We start from the raw sequence: 23,953 nt of genomic DNA, 5'->3' as shown, positions 1-23,953 counted from the left end.
GTTGCCTATGCTAGTGTGCAGTGGTGTCATCACGGCTCACTGTAACCTCCACGTCCTGGGCTCAGGTGATCCTCCCACCTCAGCCTCCCAAGTAGCTGAGACCATGGTCCTACACCACCATGCCTGGCAAATTTTTGTATTTTTTGTAGAGTCAGGGTTTCACTATGTTGCTCAGGCTGGTGTCGAACCCTTGGGCTCAAGCGACCTGCCCACCTCAGCCTCCTAAAGCATTGGGATTACAGGTGTTAGCCACCATGCCTGGCCTAAATAGAGCTCTTTATAAATTTCAGAAACATCATCCAAGGTATATAACATGCATAATAGACATACACAAATGTACAGATGCCAGTTTCCCAATAGTTTCTCTCCCTGTTTCAGATTATCCGTCTTTCCCGTTTCATTGCTCTAGTCAGTTGTTAGCTAGGCAACCCTAAATTTGTACTTGGAAAGGCGTGAATGTTAATGTGGAAAGTTTACTTCTCAAAGGCACTGGGAAAAAATGGAAGTTTTTTTCAAGAAAGAGCTTAGGGCGTATTGCCTTTTGTCAGAGGTCAATGGTATAGAGACTGTGGACTAAAATTTAGGTCTGAATATCTCCAGAGCTCATCTGGGTGGACAAAACACCCATTTTCTGCTAAAACTGGATACAGTGTATTTTCCTATGACTTGGTCTTGAGATTTCTGCCTGGGGAGTGGCTGTAAACTGTAGTCCTGCCCTGATGGGCCTATTGAGATAGCCCCTCCTTCTTTTTTTTTCTTTTGAGACAGGGTCTCCCTCTGTCACCCAGTCTGGAGGGCAGTGGTGATTACAGCTAACGGCAGCCTCAACCTCCTGGGCTCAAATGATCCTCCCACAGCCTCCCGAGTAGCTGGGACTACAGGCAGGCGCCACTAAGCCCAGCTAATTTTTTTGGTATTTGTTGTAGAGATGGGATTTTGCCTAGTTGCCTAGGCTCACCTCAAACTCCTGGGCTTAAGTGATCTGCCCTCCTTGCCTCCCAAAGTGCTGGGATTACAGGCATGAGCCACCATGCCTGGCCAGCCACTTTTTAAGAGCACTGAGCAGGAGGAGAATTAGGTTCAGGTGTGTCAGTTAGGGAGCCACAGAGGAGGATTCAAAAGATATGCTGAGGCAACAAAAAGCCATAGGAATTCACTGCAGAATTTTACAAGGAAGTACACAGATGAGCCTAGGAGAACATTCAGAAGCCTATTCAAAATAACCGCCTGAATGCCAGAAAGGCGTATTTTGGAAACAAATTTTGTTAGGTGGCTTTTCAGTTTAGCTTCTGTTTCTTCACTGGCTTATTGAGTTCCAGGTGGGGCACATTAACAAATAGGGCTGATTAAGCATTATGACTGCACTCAGCATGGAAAGCTCTGAAAAAGAAGCAAACCGGCTTGACCTGAGGGCCTAACTTTTATAAGACTTTCCCAATGTTCCTTTGTTTTTGTGGTGAGGTAGTAACTAAGTGAAATGGCCTGCAACTTGAATTTTTTTGTCAACTAGTTTTAAGTGTTTCATTTTCCTTTTGTAAAGTGTCTTAAAAGTGGCAATAAACAATTTTTTTTGAAAACTTCATTTTTTTTTGTTTTTTAGAGACAGGGTCTCACTCTGTCACCCAGGCTGGAATACAGTGACATGATCGTAGCTCACTGCAGCCTCGAATTCCTGGCCTCAAGCAGTCCTCCTGCCTTGGCCTCCCAAAGTGTTTAGATTACAGGTATGAGCCACTGTGCTGGCCTGAAATCTTTTTAGAAGCTTCTACATACCAATAGATGCCCCTGGGTTGGCCTGAATTAGGACTCCTTATTTTTAAATGGACTTCTTAAAGTGCAGTGCTGTTTATCTGAAATGCTCCATGTAATGGCCATTGTAATTCTAAATTATCTTTGTTGTGATTTTGCCATTTTTGCCAGTATTTTGTAGCTTCTGGGACCTAACACTTACTCATATAAAAGACAGGTTTATCCAGAAGGTGGAGTACTTAGTTCTTTAGAAATTAAGGATCTCATTTTTTATGTTGAATATTGGATCTCTCAAATCTGAGGTAAAAGCCTAAGAGGGAAATGCCACAGTGTTGGGTTGTGCAATGCTTTTGGTGTGCCTTCTTGTGCAGATACTTCCTGAAGGTGGTGGCACTGCTGTGTTTTGTGTCCAGTTTATCCTCTCACGACAGTCTTATTTTTTCATGTCTGGTTAATCTAACAGCTCTTAAGTGCTTGAACCAGGTCCACCAGTCAAGTTGTGACTTTTGGCACTGGGATCCCCTTGACTGACTAGCCAGTGATTTCCCCCTACCAAAGCACACAAGAAAAAGAAACAAAGAGGATAGAATCCAAATCTTTGTGAATTCTGAAACCTGGAGATCACACCCTCTGCAATCATAGCCACTCATTGCAACCGCGGTACATTGCCTTTAAAACTGTAGCTCTTGCTAGCCACTGCAAACCCCAAGAGTTCATGTGCTCTCTTATAGCACAAACTAACCCTGAGTTCAAAAGCCAAAACTATCCAGGGGCTCCACGCAGAGATCAGAGTCTGAACCGTGAGGAACTTACAACCTTCCGAACAGTGTGAGGAAGACAGGGGACTTTAAAAGAGGTGGGCAACACCTCTCCTGCATTCCCCATGGGTCTCGGGCGTCATCAGCAGTGTTTTTCAGGTCCCACTGTTGGACACCAGAACTACCAAAAGACAAAATTACAAGAAGTTTAGTTATAGATTTGATTGGCTTTTATTTTATTTAACATCAGGTTACTTCGGTTACTTTCTGGTAAGGGTTAAAGCACAGGGGACTTCCTTATTACACTGGCTCAGGAAGACTGTAATCTCCCATTTTCAGAAAAAAACTGATCTGTTTTGGGATCTATCTCCTACCTTGAAGTTTCCGTTTGGTTATGTGGCATAGCATGAGTAATTCCAGTTTGGTTTGGTCTGGTCTGTTGGGACCTAGTGTAGGAGCTCAGTCCAAAACAACGGCCTCCCATAATTTTTGTTTAACAATACCCAGAAGTGGGATTGCTGGATCTGAATGAGTAATTTCTTGAATGATCTGGAAACAAAACCAGAGTGCTGTTTTAGAGAGTTCTATCGGGATTGAGATGAAGTGTTTGGCATTTGTGTAGGAAGGTGTCTGGCTTCTTGGAGTTGGTTGAGGTAGTATCATGAGGGACACTCCCAGGACTTGGTAAAAACATAGTGCCTTTAAAACAGCTCATTGAACAAGTTTGAGCCCTCATAAACCAGTTCAGTCTCCAAATCTAATAAGACTTTGCTTTCAGCCATATGGTGCTTTGACTCGAGAGGAAACGAGACTCTTAATGTTCACACAAACATAGTTTATTTACTGAGAGCAGATTTTTCATCTAGGCATACCCTCTGTATTGTTTCTGAAGGTGATGCTGCATTTTCCTTACCTTATGCATCGTGCGGATGACTCTCCCTAGAAAGCATGTACTGCAGTACTTCAGCTGTTTCATCATTAATGGAAGAGGCTCACATTCAAAGCAGTGTTCCTTTAGGAATTTTCTTTAGAAGTTCCGTCATCTATTAATTCCTGCCTACCATAATATTATACCCCAGCAGGGCAGTGTTTCATTGGAATCAGATTAGGGCTCAATTCAGTCCTCAGCCCTCCTGATTTCTCTATCTTGGTTCCTCTCTGGAAGGCTCTCAGGGCCGCCAGCCGTGTGGCCTGTTTGAAAGCATTAGGTTGTGGATGAGGCTTGTGGCAGGAATGTGGGTTTGCTATTAGTGTTGCAAAATCACTTCTTATAGAGAATGGTGCCTTCCTCCTGCCTCCTGCAGTCTGGTTTTAGATTATTTTTCTTGTGGTTTTGGTTTGTGAGTGTGTCCTCATGGCTTTCTTTTCCTTTATTCCTTTTCCCTTTGTTAACACAGATAGGGAAGAAAAGAATAAGCAAGAGATACTTCTGTATTTGTTTATAGTGTCAAGTTTTATAGGCGACTTCCCCTTTGTCTTGTGTAGTATAAGGTCAGGGTAGTTAAAATGTTTGGAATCATTTAACTTACTTTCCCAGTAATGCTTTTATTGTTTTGGTATTAAATATAAGTATTAATAATATGGTTATAATTTAGAAGGCGTGGACATGAAAGAATCTATCCATAATGGCGTCATCCATACACAACCACTTTTAGTGTTTTAATGTATTTTCTTTTGGGTCTCTAAGAGGTTATTCTGTTTGTTTTGTTTTTTAAGTGTTTTTGCTGGAAATGAAATTTCATAGGTTGGAATTTTACCTCATTTTCTCAATTCTTTCTTTTTCTTAGAGGTGTTGAATGCCCAAAAAGACACCTGAAAGAAAAGAGGAAGAAATCAAACATAGAATGACTTTTGTATCATCAGCATCATCAACAAGCTAGATGATCATCCCTTTATAATCAGTGTCAAGTATCTTACTTGATTTCTGTAAGACATAGGCAAAAAGTGATTGTGAGGCACAGTGCATTGCCTTCCTTAGCTCGTCAAAACTTCTTTACCTTCCAGTATTTTATTGAACATGTTGGAGATTTAGGACACTCAAATAAATGAAAAGGCTCAGATATGTAGGAGTGAGTGGTATCAACCCACATCAGCGTTTATCATTTCTGCCTTCCTGCTAGATAAAATGAATAAGTTCAATGAAATGTCTACTAGAAAGCATTGATTACATAGCACACTTGCGTTTCTCTTGTAGGCCTTAGGAAACATGGTTCAATTCTCAATTCATTATATAACTGAGAAAGACAACAGTCTTGTTCACACATACAATAATACAGTTTTAATATTCTAAAAAAGCATAGCAGTTGCTGAAAAACAATTTTGGAATGCTTAAATAACAATCCTTTTCATTATTTTTTAAATTATATTTTACATTTAGGAAATGAATGCTGCTTGGTTTCATATTTAAAAAACATTTCAAAACCCTCACTTTTCAATGTTTCAGGGATTTTGTTCTAGTTTAACAATCTGCAGAGTGTAAATTTCTTGTTATATCCATCATACAGGCTTATTACATCATGGAATTTAGGCACTGGAGATGGTAGTTCAATTTTTTTAATGTGACCTTCCAAAATATGCTGTTTGTTATTGTTTTTGTAAGTAGTTTAGACATAATTCCTTAATCTAGCATTTGGAGTCTAAACTCACTTGCAGAGAGGTCACTTTATATAATTTTAGTCCATAGATAGAAATAGGATAATATAGGTTGGTGAAGCATACTGTACTTTGATGCCTTTATGAGTCTTTGTGGCATTCTGTACTTTATTTTAAAATATGACTTACTCATTTATTTGTGGACATGACAGTTGCTTTTTTTTTTTTTTTTTTTTTTTTTTTTGGAGTCAGAGTCTTGCTCTGTCGCCCAGGCTGGAGTGCAGTGGCGTGATCTCGGCTCACTGCAAGCTCTGCCTCCCAGGTTCACACCATTCTCCTACCTCAGCCTCCCGAGTAGCTGGGACTATAGGCGTCCGCCATCATGCCAAGCTAATTTTTTGTATATATATATATATTTTTTAGTAGGGATGGGGTTTCACCGTAGCCAGGATGGTCTTCATCTCCTGACCTCATGATCCGCCCTCCTCAGCCTCCCAAAGTGCTGGGATTACAGGCGTGAGCCGCCTTGCCCGGCCAGCAGTTGTTTTTGAAGTTTACTTTCTGTTTATGGCCTGGTTAACAGATCACCTTCTGAATTATAAAATGGATATAATAGGGGGATGGTGGAGGAAGTGGGGAGAAACTTGTATAAACATTTTAAGGATTAGGAAGTGACTGAAATATCTAAAATCTTTTAGCCAACACTGAGTACTTCTATTCCTAAAAATTTTTTCGTGTGTGTACCTTAAAAGTAAATATATAACTTACTCTGTTGTTAATTCTTCCAGTTTTAAACAGAAATTTGATTTGTGAATTACAGAAGCATAACATTTCATATATATGAGGTGAAGGGTGAGGTTTGAGACTAGAGCCCACAATTTCTTATTTTCTCAAAATAACTCTTTTCAGCTTCCCGAGTTACCACTATTACCAGTGACAAGTCATACCTCTTTGCCTGAAGTGGTAAGTTATACCACTTCTAAAATACCATTACTAAAAACAGCTTATTTCTAAGCTGCCTTACATTTTCAAAAGCATTTGAAAGTATTTTTGGACTTGCTAAACATTATTAGTTAGAAGTAAAAAGAAACTTGTTTGGTTATTAGGGAACTCATCGTTGCCTAGAGGAAGGGTTAGAAATGCCTAATCCCTTTGGGAATAAATAGATATATCTAGTGTTATAAAATCATGAGCACAAGATAAATTCAGATTAGCTAATTAGCCTTTGCCTCATCATTTGCTATTTTATAAATAGGGCAAAACCACACTTATATTAATAGTTACTTCCATGTTACAAGTAGGTTAATGGGCTCAGTGATTAAGTAATTTATCTTCCCCTTTACCTGTAAATGTTTGTTCCCAATTTTAGATACAGATCTCTGTAATAGTTTAAGATGGATTCAAATGTTATTTCTCTGATGTACATTTTCCCCCAATTACCTGTCTTTGCTAATATGTATTTAAAGTATACATTTCATCTGAATTGAAGTCTCCCCAGATTTTTCAGTATTAGTTCTGGGTATGTGATTTAGCTAAGAAGGAGACCTTTTAATATGATGTCATGTCATTTGTGTCACGAGAGTACACTTTAAGATTACGAGAAGATTTTTTACCATAGTTCTCTATTCCAAGTTGCTGTTGATTACGAAGTACGATATTGGGTCAACAGCTTTTCAGGAAATGAAAAAAGGGACACTGTCGTGTTAAATGTACAAATAGTAAGATAATTTACCTTTTCAGAAAAGATGAAAATGTGGATGTTAGAGAAATAAGGAAAAATTATAATAATTTTGTTTTTTATTTAGGAAATGATCATCTTTTAAAAATACACAGAAGTGTTTTCCAAGATGATTTTGTTCATTGGAACAAAAGTGCTTTAGAATGACCGTTGGTATTTTATAAAAAGTCTGAAGTATATATCAGTCAGCAAATTTGTGAAATGCTAGATTAAACTAAAGACCTTATGTGCATTATTAATCTACAAATATTCCAAATCTTAATTTCATACAGACCCCCTTTTTCCCCAAGAAAGATACATTGATTTAGGAAATCCTGATAGATGGTAATATTTTGATAATGTGTTAAGCCACTGGGATTTTCTTGTTCCAGGAGTCTTGAAAATAATTTTGAGATATAAAGGCCTAAAATTGTACTGTTTTAGGGAATTTAAGACTATGACATTGGATTTAAAGAAACAGTATATTCATTTAAAAATAAACACCATTTTTTCCCCTTCCTTGTAGTTCTTGTGAATTTAAAAGTGGCTTGTTTCTGGAAATCTCTTGCGTGAGCACTGAGCTAGAGTCAGAAGATCTGATTTCCAGGTTTTTCTTGGCTAAGTGACTTTAATCAAACCATGTCACCTCACTCAGCCTCCCTTTAGGCATTTTCCTAATGCACATCAAAATTACAGGGTCAACATACCTCACAGAGTTGTTGTAAAGATAAAATAAGAAAGTAGTCTATCTCTAGGCATTTGAAACTTGTAAAGTGTTTAGTGCAAGATTAAGGAAATAATTGCACCTTAAGCAAATAGAAGATGTGGATGCCTTAAAACCTTGTTTAGACTAATGGCTCTTTATTTGAGGATGGTAGAATTTTTTTAGTCCTAAACAGGATTTAGGGACAATTGTGCCACTCTCTCCTTTTGTCACTGAGGAAACTGAGGACTAGAAATGTTAAGTGATTGGCCTTGGGTCTCACAGAGATCCAGGAAGATGGCCAGGTCTTCTGACGCATGTTCTGATGCCATGGCCAGTCTCTAGACCAGTCTAGAAGAGAACAATGAGCTGTCTGTTAAGTAAGACATTCTTCAATATCTTCTTCCCAGATATTGCAACTTTTTATAATGGAATGTTGGTATTGTTATTTTAAAGATCCTGATGATGTTCTTGTGCAGTACACTGTTACGACTTTTATACTGTGTTTTGGGTAAAAAATTAATAAGTTGCTTTTTAGCAGTGATAATTTTTTTCTTTTTTGCATCATATTTTAAAAAAGAAATTCTGACAAATTACTATGTAATGTGCTAAAACTGAAATTATGAGAGAAAAGAAAATACAAGTTAGTTTATAATTCTGTTACTGCTTCATTGTCATCTGTGCGATACTGACATTTAGAGCACATAGCACTTGTTACCACTTTCCCCCACCCTATTCCTTTTAAAATATTTTCAAGAGAAAATGAAAAGGGCAGGTATGTTTCTTTGTGACCTCTTTTGAAAACATTTTTTTTCTTTGCCTCAAATATTACTGGGATAAAAAAATAGGATTGCTTATTTTTCTTGGACACACTTAAAAAAAAACTAGGAAATAAATGTATTATCAGTCAACAGACAATTGCTGAGAATCTACTACCGAGACATTGTGCTAGGTGCTAATGATTTTAAGACATACTACGGTCTTTTGCCTAAGAGACCATAAACATAGTTATTTACTGTGTTGTTCTTTTACAATGTGATATCAGACATTTTCTTTTATTTAAAAATACCATGTAGAATAATTTTCTCTATTTGTGTTCTTTTTGGCATTGTATGAAATTTGAATAGAGAAATGCTACAAATAGAAAGGTGTGAATAATTTTAGAGCCCTGAGGATGATATTATGAAAGGTTAAATTGTCTATGCTTTAATAAAAGGAGCAGTTAAAAATTATTTTAGTCACTGGAATAGTGAGTGTGTTTGTTTGAATTGTAGCACACCTAGACAGAAATAAATCTTGTTAAAACAACAGCTTACTACTGACCTTACTTGCTTTGCCCATTTTAGGCCCTAGAATCTTGACTATAGTAAAATAGAAGAGGTCTACTATGTACATTTGTAAGTGTATCTTTAAAAGATATTTTAACCTGATACTTTATGAAGAAAAAATAAAAAGAATTCATTACGCATGCCTTGAATTTATGGTCTGAAATCAGAACCCAAACATTTTATTATATACTATAGTTAACTAAAGTGTGTTTAGATACTACAAACTACAAATAACTTTTTGTGGGATTTTGATTCAATCTTCACTTCCTTCTCATAGAGGAACTCAAACTCTCGGTCACTCTATGAGATTTTTTTTTTTTTTTTTTTTTTGGGAAGACAGAGTCTTGCTCTGTCACCCAGGCTGGAGTGCAGTGGTGTGATCTTGGCTCACTGCAACCTCTGCCTCCTAGATTCAAGCAATTCTTGTGCTTCAGCCTCCCAAGAAGCTGGGATTACAGGCACCCCCCGCACCATACCTAGCTAATTTTTGTATTTTTAGGAGAGACGGAGTTTCACCATCTTGGCCCCTTGCTGGTCTTGCTGGTCTCGAACTCCCGGCCTCAAGCAGTCCTCCCTCCTTGGCCTCCCAAAGTGCTGGGTTACAGGTATGAGCCACTGCGCCTGGCCTGTGTTTTGATTTGATCTGAATTGTTGGTTATGTCCATAAAAAGCTAGCTATTTTTTGTTTGGTTTCGTTTTTTTGTTTGTTTGTTTGTTTGTTTTCGAGACAGGGTCTTGCTCTGTCTCCATGCTGGAGTGCAATGGCGTGATCACTGCTCACTGCATCCTCAATCTCCTGGGCTCAAACGATCCTCCTGCCTCAGCCTCCTGAGTAGCTGGTACCACAGATGTGCACCACCACACTCAGCTAATTTCTTGTTTATTTCTGGTAGAGATGGTGTCTCACTATGTTGCCCATGCTGGTCTGGAACTCCTAGGTTCAAGCAATCCTCCCATGTCGACCTCCCAAAGTGTTGGGATTACAGGTGCTTGCTACTGCGCTTGGCCAAGGCTAGCAATTTTTGTGGGGAAAAAAAAAATTTAAGTACTGTATATAGAAAGATACCACTATGATACATAATGTTTTCTTGTAAGTTCCTTGAAGGTAGGACTTTTTTTGTTTTTTTAAACCATTATATTCCCAGAGCCTTTATATATCCCTGTTTATATATCCCTTGTATATAAATCTTTGTTGGGTAAATGAATTAATTAATTTTTATTTATCCTTAAGCATCGTAATCCTTTTTTGTGTTTGTTGCCATTCTGGTTTCCAGCTTGTCTGCCCGAGATGTTTCTTTTTTTTTTTTTAAGTCCTTATTACTATTTATGAAAGGCGATTCATTTTTGTTCTGGTGATCTATCTATTGTTTAAAACAATAATTTATTATTAATATAGCTCATAATTCTGTGGGTTAGGAATTTGGACAGGGCACAATAGGGATGGTTTGTCTCTTCTGTATCTGGAGTCTTAGTTGGGAAGACCAGGAACTGTCAGGGGCTATAATAGATGGGGCCTGGCTGGGCATTTAATTCTCTTTTTTCATATGGCTTTTCCACATGGCCAGCTTGGGCTTCTTCATAGTATGGCAGCCTCAAGGCAGTCATACATACGTAGCAGCTCAGAATGCTAAGATCGAGGGTTTCAGGAGTCCCAGGCTGAAGCATCAAGGCTCAGAAGTCCCAAAATACTGCTGCTGCTATATTCTCTTGGTCAAGCCAGTCATTAAGGCAACCCCAGCTTCAGGGGAAGGGCGGTTACACTTCAGTTCTCAATGAGAGTAGCAGCAAAGAGTTTATTGCTGTCTTTAATCTTTCACAGTTTCTGTTCAGAGTTTTTGTTGTCTTGTCATTATTATTAACACTATTAGGCTGTGGTTTATTCTAGGATGTCTAGCAAAATAACTATTTCCAAGTGTTTAGATATCAAATGGTAATAGCTCCTCTTTTCTCTCCATGCTGTAGTTTGTGGCCTGACTGCCTAGAGTGCTCTTTGTCCTAGATGGGCTAGAAAGAGGGGTGTTAGATTCCTTTTGATAGAAATAAGAACTTCCCAATTGGGAGTTCATGCTACAAATGAATTTCCCCCATGGAATAGAAATTCCCAGAGGAGAATACCTGTAACTATGTATCTATATCTATTTGTATGTGTTTGTATATACATGTTTTATATATATATATATTTATACACACACACACATATATGTGTATGTATAAATACACTCACAGATACACACACACACACCTCATTTCATAGTAGATAACTTGTAGGCCAGTAGTACCCAGATTATGATTTCATGTTTCTATTTAAAAATTTTTCCCAAATCTGCAAACTGGCATAGGAGTGCCACAATTTCAATTTTGTCAAGTCATTATATGAAAATGAAAATGACCACTTACTAGCATCACCATTTCAGAAAATAAAAGGAAAATTTAGCCCCATGAAACAGTAAGCTCATAATCTATAATAAAGTCAGATTCTTCACATTTACTGAAATTTAGCTTTATAAAAAAGGATTACATTTTTTCTTTTAGTTTTAAAAGACTTTGTTCTTTAGTTACAGTTCAGAGACATATTTTGGGTACCACTGGTAGGACCTTTGATTTGTCAGTGAAATTTTTGGTAAACAAAACATGTACATGAATGATTCTTAAAATCTACATTTTATGGCCATATTTATTATGTAAATAATTGGGAATGTTAACTTGGTTAATGGCTCCTATGAAAAGCAGCCAGTTTAGTATGTTACTAGATTCCTTTTCAATACAGAAGATTTTAGTTTAATTAAGACCTATAAAACAAAAATAGATTTACTAACTAAATATAAACAAAACTACCAAATCGATAAGATTTAAATTAGCACTACCATGCAAGCGTATTTGGCTGTAACAAAATTGCTGTGTATAATCTGCTGAGCTCAGGTTACATTGAGTTCAGCATGTACTGCTAGTAGCTGTGTGAAGATGTTTCAAATACTCCACATGAATTTTCTTTACTGAATTCATAGAAAACTTTCCCTCTCAAGATTTGACTTCAAAGAAATTAAAATACTCATCTTTAACACGAATGTAAGCACAAATGGAAGTCCTGAAATTAAATGGCAATAAGTTATCAGTTATATAATGGTCGTCCACATGATTTAGCATATCCATATGTTAAGTAATTTCAGATTTTCATCAAAATGAAAGCATGAAATTAGAAAATTTCATGGATGTTTTATGGACATTTATATACATTCTTGGTCTCTGGGACCCCCAGTTTGAAGAAAAATTTAGCCACAATAGATTGTTTTCCTAGCTGTCTCCCACCTTAGGTTTCAGAATTGTCTTCTTTTCTAATGAAATTCCTTGTGTCAAGTAAAGTTCTCATTTTGTCACAGCCTTAAATTTTTTTTTCTTCACTGTCTTTTATCCTGCAATATTGTATTATTTCTTCTATTTTTTTTTTTTTTTTTTTTTGCTTATGTAGGTACAACAGCCAATAACTGAATAATCTTGTTAGTGAAACCTTTTTGGGTAACTCATTGTTAAGTTGGTGCTTGTGACTGCTGTGTAAGGCTGGCTTTTAGAAAGTATCTTCTTGATATCAAATCCTTTTCTTTGAGGGAATAAGGAGTTGGGTAGAGCAAGAATTGCAGAGAAGGGAGCCTGGCAGAAGAAGCAGTAATAGAAGCAACCTGGGAGAGTGGAGGCCTTGAATTCAGAACGACCTGGATTCAGTTGGTATTTCTTCCTCTTGCTTTAACTTGAGTAAATTGCTTAACTTCTCTTAGTTTCCTCATCTGTAAAATGGATTTTTAAGAGACATGGTCTTGCTCTGTCACCCAGGCTGGAGTGTGATGGCACAAACATAGCTCACTGCAGCTTCAACCTCCCAGGCTCAAGCAATCCTCCAGCCTCAGCCCCTCAAGTAGCTGGGACTGCAGGCACGCGCCACCACACCTGGCTAATTTTTGTATTTTTTGTAGAGACGACGTTTCGCCTTGTTGCCCAGGCTCATCTTGAGCTCCTGAGTTCAATAATCCTCCCACCTCAGCCTCCCGAAGTGCTGGGATTACAGACATAAGCCACTGAGCCCGACCAGCATGTAAAATTTATAGCAGGGGAACTGGCATCTGTTTCATAACAAAAGGTAGCTCCTGTTATTCTGTATGCTTAGGGTGTTGGAATGCTCATCTCAAGATCTATCCAGTTTTATTTATGTTTTGTATGTTAGATATTTTATCAATAAATTCTAGCTTCACAACTAAGTTAGAAGGCCCTTTCACACCTTTTCATGTACATAGTGCCCTTCTGTGACGTGGAGGTTGAATAGCAATTGGTTAAGATAGGATAGTGAGGCCCAAGTTTTAATGATATATTTGTTCCTGGGTTCATAGAAACTCTGTTAGTCATGAGGACTGGGAGAAGTCCTGTCATCAGTAGAGGTACTAATCTCTTTGAGCCCCAGATTTCCATCTGTGAAACTCAGTAGTTGAAACGTGATTTCTAAGTTTGCTCTAGATCTCAATTTTTTCCCGAAATGGTACTGTTGCCATAGGATCCAGTTTTCTCCAGTATTCCTCAATGTTTTTGTTAGAACCTAGGCACCTAGTAAAATGAAAAATCCCATTTTTAGTTTTTTAGGAGGACAAAAAACTCTATATAGTCTCACACAGTAGGGCCACATTTCTAATGAAATCTGTTTTCTGATAACATTTCTTCTGAGTGACATTTGGATCCATGGGATGACTCAGTAAAATACAGAAAGTTGATTAAAATGTGGCTAGGTACTAACTACTCCACAGGTAAAGTTCTTCACTGTCCTACACAGTGAGTTGCAAAGCTTTTCTCTTAGTCTGGTGCTAGCTTTTGGAATACTACATTCTTTCTACAACTCTGTAAAATATTGACATACTTAATCGCATAATACATAATTATAATTTGAGTCAAAGAAAATAAACTTATTTTTGTTTGATTAAAACATTATGGCTATGAATACCTATTATACACACTTGTGAGCTGTTTTCAATTTTTTTTCTGTTTAAAATACTGTTCATTTGGTGCTTGCTATCCTTTGTTTTGGTGGGTCGGTGCTGCCTAGCAGGCAGGCAGAGCAGTAAAAATACAGGTCCTGTGCTCGGGCAGTCCTGGGTTTGACATCCGGGTCCGTTTTAAGTTTTTTGACTTTAGATAAATTGTGTTACCTTACTGTCTTCCTTTTTAAGGAGACACCTCCTCTCTTGCCCTCGTACATGCTTTGTGTGCATTTTAAAAAATTAATGTTCTCTTTATTGTATTGAAATAATGATTATATCTTAATGCGGTCATGTTGTGTTGATAGATTTGACCTCTCTGTAGGAGATGAGAATTGACAGTGACCATCATTTGGGGAAGGGTGCCTTTGGTGGCAAGTTTGTGCTGGTTCCTCTGAGGCTGTCTTTGAGGGTACTTTAGGTGTTGGAAGTTAAAGACTGCCGCTGCCCTTTGTAGTTACATATATAATGTTAATGTTGGCTGGGGTGGTGGGTCACGCCTGTAAAACCAGCACTTTGGGAGGCCTAGGTGGGAAGATCACTTGAGGCCAGGAGTTCCAAGTCCAGCCTGAGCGACATAGCAAAACCCCATCTCTACAAAAAAAAAAAAAAAAAGAATGAATAAATAAATATGAAAATCAGCCAGGTGTGGTGGTGCATGCCTAATATAGTCCTAGCTACTCAGGAGGCCGACATGGGTAGATCAACTGAGCCCAGGAGGTCGAGGCTGCAGTGAGCTGTGGTTGCACCACAGCACTCCAGCCTGAGCAATAGAGCAAGACCCTGTCTCAAAAAAAAAAAAAAAAAAGCTAGTTACTTCTGGTCCACTTTCTTTTCTTACCCATAGTCTTAAGATATTATGCATATAGTTGCCAGGCATGGTGGCTCACACCTGTAATCCCAGCACCTTGGGAGGCCAAGATGGGTGGATCATGAGCTCAGGAGTTCAAGACCAGTCTGACCAAGATGGTGAAACCCTGTCTCTACTAAAAAAAAAACAAAAAAACAAAACAAAACAAAAAAACAAAAAAATTAGCCGGGCATGGTGGCGGGCACCTGTAATCCTAGCCACTCAGGAGGCTGAAGCAGAGAATTGCTTGAACCTGGGAGGCAGGTGTTGCAGTGAGCCGAGGTCATGCCACTGCACTCCAGCCTGGGCGACAGTGCAAGACTTGTCTAAAAAAAAAAAAAAATATGCATATAGTCACGCATCACTTAGATGCATTCTGAGTATTGCCTCATTAGGCAAGAGTGTACTTACACAAACCTAGATGGTCTAGCCTGCTACATACCTAGGCTATCTGGTGTAACCCATTGTTTCTAGGCTACAAACCTGTGTAGCATGTTACTATACTGAATACTGTGGGCAGTTGTAACACAATGGGAAATATTTGTGTATATAAACATGTCTAAATATAAAAAAGTGCAGTAAAAATATGGTATTATAATATTACAGGACCACTATGGGATATGCAGTGTGTCATTGACAAATGTTGTTATGCAGTGCATGACTGTATATTATACAGAATCTTGAAGTGTTTTATAGGCTCGTCTGTATTGTACCCAAGGGATATAAAAGGAATGATTCTAGGCTCAGTTGTGTCAGAATGGTCGTTGCAACAGTAATTAGGGGAAAAAAGCTAAGGAGAAGATGAATTTCTGAGGGGAGTTTATAATCTAAAAATTATCCACACTATTGGGAGAAAAACAATAAAAATTCTACTTATAGTGTGTTGGGGCCTTTTTACTTGAGGTGGGGGTGGATTGGTTGTTAGGGTGGCATGCTCTAGTCTTGGTGGGGAACTATCCCTGAGCCTTTTACCTCTGTTTAAGAAAGATTAATTTCTGCCCAATAACTTATCTTCCCCCTCCGCCGTAATTCTGTTAAAGACTGTTGTCAGTTTTTTGGCAAAGCACCCTAATAAAAGCCCTAGGACTTCTGCAGTTGTTTAAAAATTACTAGTCCAGCAGCAGGTTATTGTCTTACTCAAAGATGGATGCAACCTCATCCTTGCCCTCAAACAGCTCACAGTCTAGAGGAGAAGATAAATTTTAGTATAAGATAATGACAGCAATCATTTGTACATGCCGTATCCAAATTCTTATTTCCTTTTCACATGTCAACACTTCAACCTTCTCTAGCCTGATTTATATCTTTATCTCTCCATTGAAACTGTCCTTATAAAGGGCACCAGTAATTTCTGATTGCCACATCAAGTAGAAATCTTAATTTCCAGTGTCATTGAACAATGGGGACCACCCTCTCCTTCTTGGAATTATCTCCTCTGGAATTTTATAGTACTTGTCTTTGCTGGTCTTCCTCTTGTCTTTTAGGTAATTTCTTCTCATTTTCCTTGGTCAATTCCTTTTCTACATAGTTTTTACCTGTAGAAGTTCCTCAAGACTTAGTTCCAGTCTCCCATCCTCCTTTCTTTATATTTTCTGCCAAAGAAATCTTAACCATTTCTATGGATTCAAGTGCTATTTTCAAGTCAAGGGCTGCCAATTTAGTATCTTTCATCCTTTTCCAAATTTGAACTTTGTACATTCAACTACAGATATGAGATTAATTGGTTGTCTAGGTCTATCTCTGGGCAAGAATACTAGTCTTTACAGAGTTGCTGTTTTATTATAGTTGCTTTATTGTATTGCCTCTGACCATGGTAGGCAAGAGACAAGATGGAAAGGAATGGGCATAATGAGATCCGTGAGTGTGATGGATATATTATTTTTCACTGTGTCATATATGTAAATAGTGGATGTGTATGTAACTGTAGCTTAAGAATTTTTAAACTGATATATTTTTTCTATATATCTGTTATAATTATGGCCTATGAATTTTTTTTACATTTAGTGAGGATGAAAATTTATTAAATTGTATATCTAAATCTCTACTTGTTTAACTTATGACTAATTGTACTTTCAGAAGCTTTTTATTAAACTGAGTTGAAATAACAAAAGAACATCTTAAGATTGACTTTCAGTTAACTTTAAGCACTGGTTTTATTAACCTAAAAATTTATCTGTATTAATTTGTATACCTTAATAGGCAAAATGAGTAGTTGGAAAGAATAAGTAGGAGGTTAGTTAATGTTTACCTGTAAGTTATCAGGGCTAAATGTTATTTTAAGGGAGTTTTGCCATGATTCTGTTGACCTTACAGAGGACTTTGGAGAATGAAAATTACCTTTAAACATTTTCATTAGTTAAGAGTTATTGTCTGCAGTGGAGGTATAGCCTTTTAAACAGAGAAAGAAATCATGAGCTTGTCTGCAGTATATATAGAAGTTAATCAGTCAATTTATAAATTATTCTTCTGAGGTCTAGATGCTTATTAGCACCATCAAACTTATTGGGAAACAATTTTACTTTGCATGTCTAGTCCTCATTCTTTATATTATTAAGTCTTCTGCAGTGAAACTTTGGAATTTTACTATTTTATTAAAATTCACATGAAGGCTATATATTAGGACACATTTGCATTACAAATATATGTAATATATTTGTATAATAACAATATCATGTTCAATAATCTGAAATAGTTTTCAAAGGTAAGTCGTGAAAGTATGACTTTCTTCTTGGGGTTATATCCTGTGGTGACTTAAAGGTGTTTTTTGTGTTTGAGAGTTTGTGCTTTTAAGCAAAAAAAAGGGAAAAATAAATTTTGTATTAATCATATATTATGAGTGTACACTATGGGTATAAATTCACATGTGCTTGGCTGGAACTATTGAAAAATCTTAAGTAATTTGAGCAGTTCTTCCTTAGCTTTTTCTTCTGTTCCCTGTGCGTTCTCTTTTTTCCTGCCAGTCTGTCTGGCTGGCTTGATTAAGGTGGTGCTGGCTGGCCTGAAACATGAAGTGTGATAGTTGTTGGGCTGCCCTTTTGTTTAGTCATCTCTTTCCAACAGCCTGTTTGTTCCATGTTTTCAGTTGTCCATGAAAAAATTGACTTGGTTGTTTTGAGTTGACAAACATATCTTTCTTTTTTTTTTTTTTTTTTTTTTTTTGAGAAAGGGTCTCACTCTGTCACCTAGGCTGGAATGCAGTGGCGTGATCACGACTCACTGCAGCCTTGACATCCGTAGGCTCAAGTGATCCTCCCATCCCAGCCTCATGAGTATCTGAGACTACAGACATGCGCCACCATGCCTAGCTAATTTTTTTGTATTTTTTGGAGACGGGGTTTTACCTTGTTGCCCCAAGCTGGTTTCGAACTCCTGGGCTCAAGTGATATGCCTGCTCAAGCCTCCCAAAGTGTTGGGAGTACAGGCGGGAGCCACCATGCCCTGCAACAGACATATCTTTATTTACATCCAGCTCTATTAGTGATTGCATCCTTTGATTGGTAGCAGCTTTGAGAAAATTGTGAGGCCTACATTTGGGCTGAGAAAATAATAATGCCAAGATTTAATAATAGTGTCTGCCAAAGGTGCAAGATATAGGGAATACCTTTTGCTGGTCTTGTTAGTACTATACCAAAAACCTCAAGAAGGCAGTTTTCAGGTTGGTCACATTTCTGCCATTTGCTTTTTCAAATCAAGTTGGCAAAAATAGCATTATCAAAACAGTGACCTTCTGTAACAGCCTACTGGGTAAGATCATGTATGAACTCCAGAGTCAGACTCTTGTGGGTTAGAACCCAGACTTTTGCTAGTTCATCAGCTCTCTGGCTTTAGAGAGAGCTCTTCACTCCCCAGTTAGGTTTCTGTATCTATAAGGTGGACATGATAGTAGCAGGGCCTACCCTCATAGGATTGTTATGAAGGTTAAATTAGGTAACACACAAAAAGTTCTCTACTCAGTGCTCTCACAGAATAAGCATTCAATAAATGCTATTGATGCTATTGTTACATTGTTGTTAAGCCAAAAAAAGTATGGCACATCTCTTATTATAGTAGTTATAAATTAAAATGTTCTTTTAGCCAGTATTACAGCTGTCATTTCATTTTCTTCCCAGTTTCCATTGCTTCCTCTGGGTCTGTTTCTATCCATTCACTTAAAAAATAAATAAAATGAAATATTGAGCATATCTTCTTCAGTTCTCTCTCACGCCCTGCCATTAACCTACACAGTTCTAATGCTGCCAGCTGTCTTATTTATGTGTGGTGTAGATTCAGTCCTGACTGCTTTTTGCCTCAGACTCGTGAGGTGTTACTCCACCTGCTAGTTGATGCTCTACTTGGCAGGTGTTCACACCACCATATGCAGCTAGAACTACCTTTACCCTTAGATCCCTACTCACGCGGAAACTGTAGCTATCACACAAGAAAGAGCAAGGACACACAGGTGCATTTGTGAAAAATCACTAAAATATTTTTTAACATTAAAATTTTTTTTTGCATTTTAAAAATTTAAGTATAATTTGCAGACCATAAAATGCACCCATTTTAAGTAGCAGGAGTTTCAGTACATTTTTGCAGTCATATATCTTGTGTCTGTTATTCATCTTCTTTAGGACACAATTCAGTTTTAGAACAATTCTATCACCCCACAAAGTTATCTTGTGTCCATTTTTAGTCAGTTTCCATTTCCATATCCTGACACTGGAAACCATCAGCCTGTTTTCTGTCTTTATAGTTTTACTTTTTCTAGAAATTTCAAATAAATGGAATCATACAATACAGTGTGTGTTGTATTTGTGTCAGTCTTCTTTCATTTAGCATAATGTTTTTGAGGTTCATCTGTGTTGTTCACATATTGATAATTCATTCCCCTTTATTGAGTGGTATTCCACTGTATGGATGTACAGCATTTAAGAAAATCCCTTGATAAACATTTGTATTGTTTACAATTTTTGGCTATTGTGGACAATAACTGCTGTGAACATTTCCATTCAGCTCTTTGTATGGATATCTCTTCCCCAAGAGAAATGAAAACATCAGGGATAAAATTGCATTGTGTAGTGAGAAACTTCCAAACTGTTTTCCCAAATGACTGTACTATTGCATTTTCTACCAGCAGTGGATTAAAAGGGGTTCTGATTTCTTCATATCCTTGTCAACACTTCAGATAATTTTACTGGTTGTGTAGAATATTTCATTGTGGTTTCAATTTCCATTTTCCTAATAACTAATGATGTTGAGTATTTTTTCATGTACTTTTCCTTATTGTATATCTCATGGTGAGTTGCAGAATATGTTGCCCATTTAAAAATAATTGAATTATTTGTCCTATTATTAAGTTGTAAGAGATCTTTATATATTCTAGATACATGCCCTTTATCAAATAATTTAGCTCCTTATATAATATATTCTAGATATGTGTCCTTTATCAGATAATTATTTTGCAGATATCCCCAAAATTATCCCTACTCCTTCCCTTGAAACACATTCTTAGAGGGGCTTTGTGAAAACTCTCGGGACAGAGCAGTAACGAGATGCTTCTTTATTATAGAGCTTTTATTACCTCCACTTTTGCTTTAAATGACTACTAGTTTCTCTTAGTAACTTATAAAAAAGTTTGTAATTCTGTTTTTATGGAAGTATTTTATTCTTTTTGTTTAAAATGTTACACCAAGGTATCTAGATGTTTGGAAATTTTAGTATCTTTATATCTCCTAAACATCTTTCTGGTTTTTTTTGTTTGTTTGTTTGTTTGTTTTTTGAGTTGGAGTCTCCCTCTGTCGCCCAGGCTGGAGTATAGTGGCGCGATCTCGGCTCACTGCAAGCTCTGCCTCCTGGGTTCACGCCATTCTCCTGCCTCAGCCTCCGAGTAGCTGGAACTACAGGCGCCTGCCACCACGGCCGGCTAATTTTTTAGTATTTTAGTAGAGACGGGGTTTCACCGTGTTAGCCGGGATGGTCTTGATCTCCTGACTTCATGATCCACCCGCCTCAGCCTCCCAGAGTGCTGGGATTACAGGTGTGAACCACCGCGCCCGGCTAACATCTTTCTTTAGCATGGGTGCATTGACACTTTTGCCTCATGTTATGGTAGCTTATTAATAAAAGCTTACTGAATAGTATAGAGCCAACAGTAATCATTTAATATAATTCCTACTAATATCACAAGTTTCAGCTCCTGATTGTTGCATAATATGATGTCCTTGAGCAAATTAGTTGTTGGTATAGAATTATAACGGGCTTAAGTAGGCCAGCATAATGAATACATTTATCCCAGTAGTGTTAGAAAGAGTTGATGACTCCTATTACTTAAGTTTATTGCACACTATTCACTGACTGCCACTTGAGTGGAATCCATTCATTTTATTTACTGTGATAACTTCTTATTTGCATATAGATTCTTTTTGTTTGTTTTTCATGAAGTATCTCTGACTAATACACTAGCTGCATTTCATTATATATGATGAGTTCAAGACTGGCCAGGTCTTGGTAAAAATCAAAATGCCATCTTTTTCTGTTTCTCTCCCCTGTAGACCTTTTAGATTATGAAATCAGATGTTTCTAGTGTCCAAGAAAAATAGTAATTTTGATATTAAATTGATGTTAACTTGTTTGTGCTATTGGATTCTATTTACTGTTTTAACGAGTAAAGGGCTCTTAAAGGAATTAGTAATGTTTTAAGTTTTGATAATCCAAATTGTAAATTCTTACTGATGGATGTCATTTGAAGGAAGAAAAATCTAGTAGCTTAGTTATAAAAACATTCCTTGGAGCTGATTAAATCTAGTAGTGTTTAATGTTTTTTAAAAATTATTCTTAAAAAGAGATACATTTTCAGTATCGTTACTAGTAGCAATCAAGCCACTTTTCTTGAGTCCATAAAATATACAAAAGCAGTAAATATTAATATACATAAAATGCCGTAAGCACATACTTCTTGTTTTCATATTCCTCATTGTGTTTCTTGGGAACAAACTTAATTGGTGCAGTGGAAGGATCAGACGAAAAGCTGCAGGCTCATTTACAGCGAAGCACTTTGTTCACAAAGACACAGACTCTGAAGAAACATTGCAAACAGTTGCCCTCATTATTGAAAATATTCAGTTCTTCCTTTTCTTATTCACCTTTTCTCTTGCAAATTATCTTGGTTATTATAACATCATTTTTACTGCCATAAAGGCTGTCCTTGGCTGGGCATGGTGGTTCACACCTGTAATCCTGGCATTTTGGAAGGCCAAGGCAGGAAGGTCACTTGAGGCTAGGAGTTCGAGACCAGCCCAGGCAACTTAGCAAGACCCTACCACTACAAAAAATAAAAGATTAGCTGGGTGTGGTGGCGCATGCCTGTAGTCCTGGCTACTTGGGAGGCTGGGGCGGGAGGATCACCTGAGCCTACGAGTTTGAGGTTGCAGTGAGCTGTGATAGTGCCACTGCATTCCAGCCTGGGTAGCAGAACGAAATTTTGTCTCTGAAGGGGGGAAAATAAAAGATAATTCTTGAGATAAGAAATTATTTAGTCATTCAGGCCTTTTGGTTCCATATAGGTAAACTGTAAATCATGGTAAATTAAGATTAGCATGGGAACTTTCTTTATTTATTCAGCACACATTTTCTGCCTGTTACAATGTGCTGGGCACAGCCCTAGGAATGCAGTGTGGGAGTAGGTCACTAGGGCCTCCTGCTTTTACTCAGCTTTTTGTCTCATAGGGAAGGCTGGTGGTTAGACAAGCAGTTAAAGTATAAGGACGGCCACTCAGAATTTGTAGGCACTTCATAATTCACAATGAAATGCAGCCTTATATATTTTACATTACCTTGTACAAATAAAAGTAATGCAGCAAGTCTACTTCTTGATTTACCATGCGATTTAATAAGAGATGTTATTAATGCATATTACTTGTGTATTGATGGCAATTAACAAGTATTACTTTGAAAATCGGTTATAAAAATCACATCTGCTCTAAGGAATCTTAGGATTCTGCAGATTTTATTCACGTTTATTTGTTTGTTTATATTACAGATTTCTCTTGGATTTGGCTACACACTTATAGATCTTCTGCACTGTTTACAGGCACAGGTGAGTTAACGTTGAATTCTTCATATTGGATACTTTGATATTTAATTAAAATTTTAAAATTCTTTATATAGTTTAGGAAAATATGTAAATAAGATGATTTTAAATAAAAACAATAAACTGTATATTTGTCTATATTTCATTTTTATTATGAAAGTTCCTTACAAATGTATTGGAAATAACATTTAAAGGTAAAATGCTCATATCTGTTTATCAGTGGTTACTATATCTATTTGGGATGAGTTTACATTATACCCATTGGATGAGTTGATTACAGTTTATTCTAATTTCATAGCCTGACAAAATGTTTATTATATTTATTTTTATATGTAAAAATTTGAGTGGTGGTATTTCTCATTTCTTAGCAAACTAGCATAAAAGAGGAGAAAAGAAAAGTTACTACAGATTTTAGCAGCAAATCTCAGACTTACAGGGGTAGATGTTATAAAATGCAATGAGCCAACCTTTCTTGTCCAACCTGTGTAAAATAGCTTCTCAAGCACTCCGTATCACACAGCTGAAATTGATTTTTATCACAATATTTATGATCATGTGATATATTTTTACTTACTCTTTACAACTTTCCCTGCTAGCTTCATGAACATCGGGACCATTTCTATCTTGTTCAAAACAGCATCCCTAACACTTAGGATGGTGCCTGGTATACAGTAAAGACTAAATAAACGTTTGTTAAAGTAATTATCGGGTAATAAACATTAAGAATATATTTATATTCAGAGACACTGAACTTTGTAAATACAAATAGAAATAGTTTATTAAGCTTATTTCATTTTTTGTTTTTGAGATGGAATCTCGCTCTTTCACCCAGTCTGGAGTGCAGTGGTGCAATCTTGGCTCACTGCAACCTCCGCCTCATGGGTTCAAGCGATTCTCCTGCCTCAGCCTCATGAGTAGCTGGGATTACAGGTGTCCACCAGCATGCACCACTAATTTTTTTTGTATTTTTAATAGAGACGGGGTTTCACCATATTGGCCAGGCTGGTCTTGAGCTCCTGACCTCAAGTGATCTGCCTGCCTCGGCCTCCCAAAGTGCTTGGATTACAGACGTGAGCCACTGCGCCCAGACTCTTAAGCTTATTTCTAGATATGAAATTAATTTATACCGTGAACTTAAGGTATATAGCTCTTAAATGTTATGAAAAATTAGTTGTATTA

At 37.2% G+C, this 23,953-nt stretch overlaps 1 protein-coding gene across 41 annotated transcripts in view; it reads left to right on the top strand.

The window, feature by feature from the left end:
• Window positions 1-23,953, top strand: part of NCOA2 (nuclear receptor coactivator 2) — a 346,665-nt gene that overhangs the window by 136,923 nt on the left and 185,789 nt on the right. For 39 of the 41 annotated variants that reach the window (XM_047421240.1, XM_047421258.1, XM_047421256.1 and 36 more), the window contains exon 2: window positions 22,724-22,780. The gene's annotated coding sequence lies outside the window, so the exon portion shown is untranslated. Of the gene's footprint in view, window positions 1-5,618; window positions 6,063-20,472; window positions 20,723-22,723; window positions 22,781-23,953 lie in introns of those variants that run through there. The other 2 variants (XM_047421235.1, XM_047421246.1) reach the window with 2 other exon arrangements.

This window comes from Homo sapiens, chromosome 8 (genome assembly GCF_000001405.40).
Source record: "Homo sapiens chromosome 8, GRCh38.p14 Primary Assembly".
NCBI classification, from domain to species: domain Eukaryota; kingdom Metazoa; phylum Chordata; class Mammalia; order Primates; family Hominidae; genus Homo; species Homo sapiens.
Note: the sequence above shows the minus strand (reverse complement) of the source record. Positions and strands in the feature narration are given on the sequence as shown.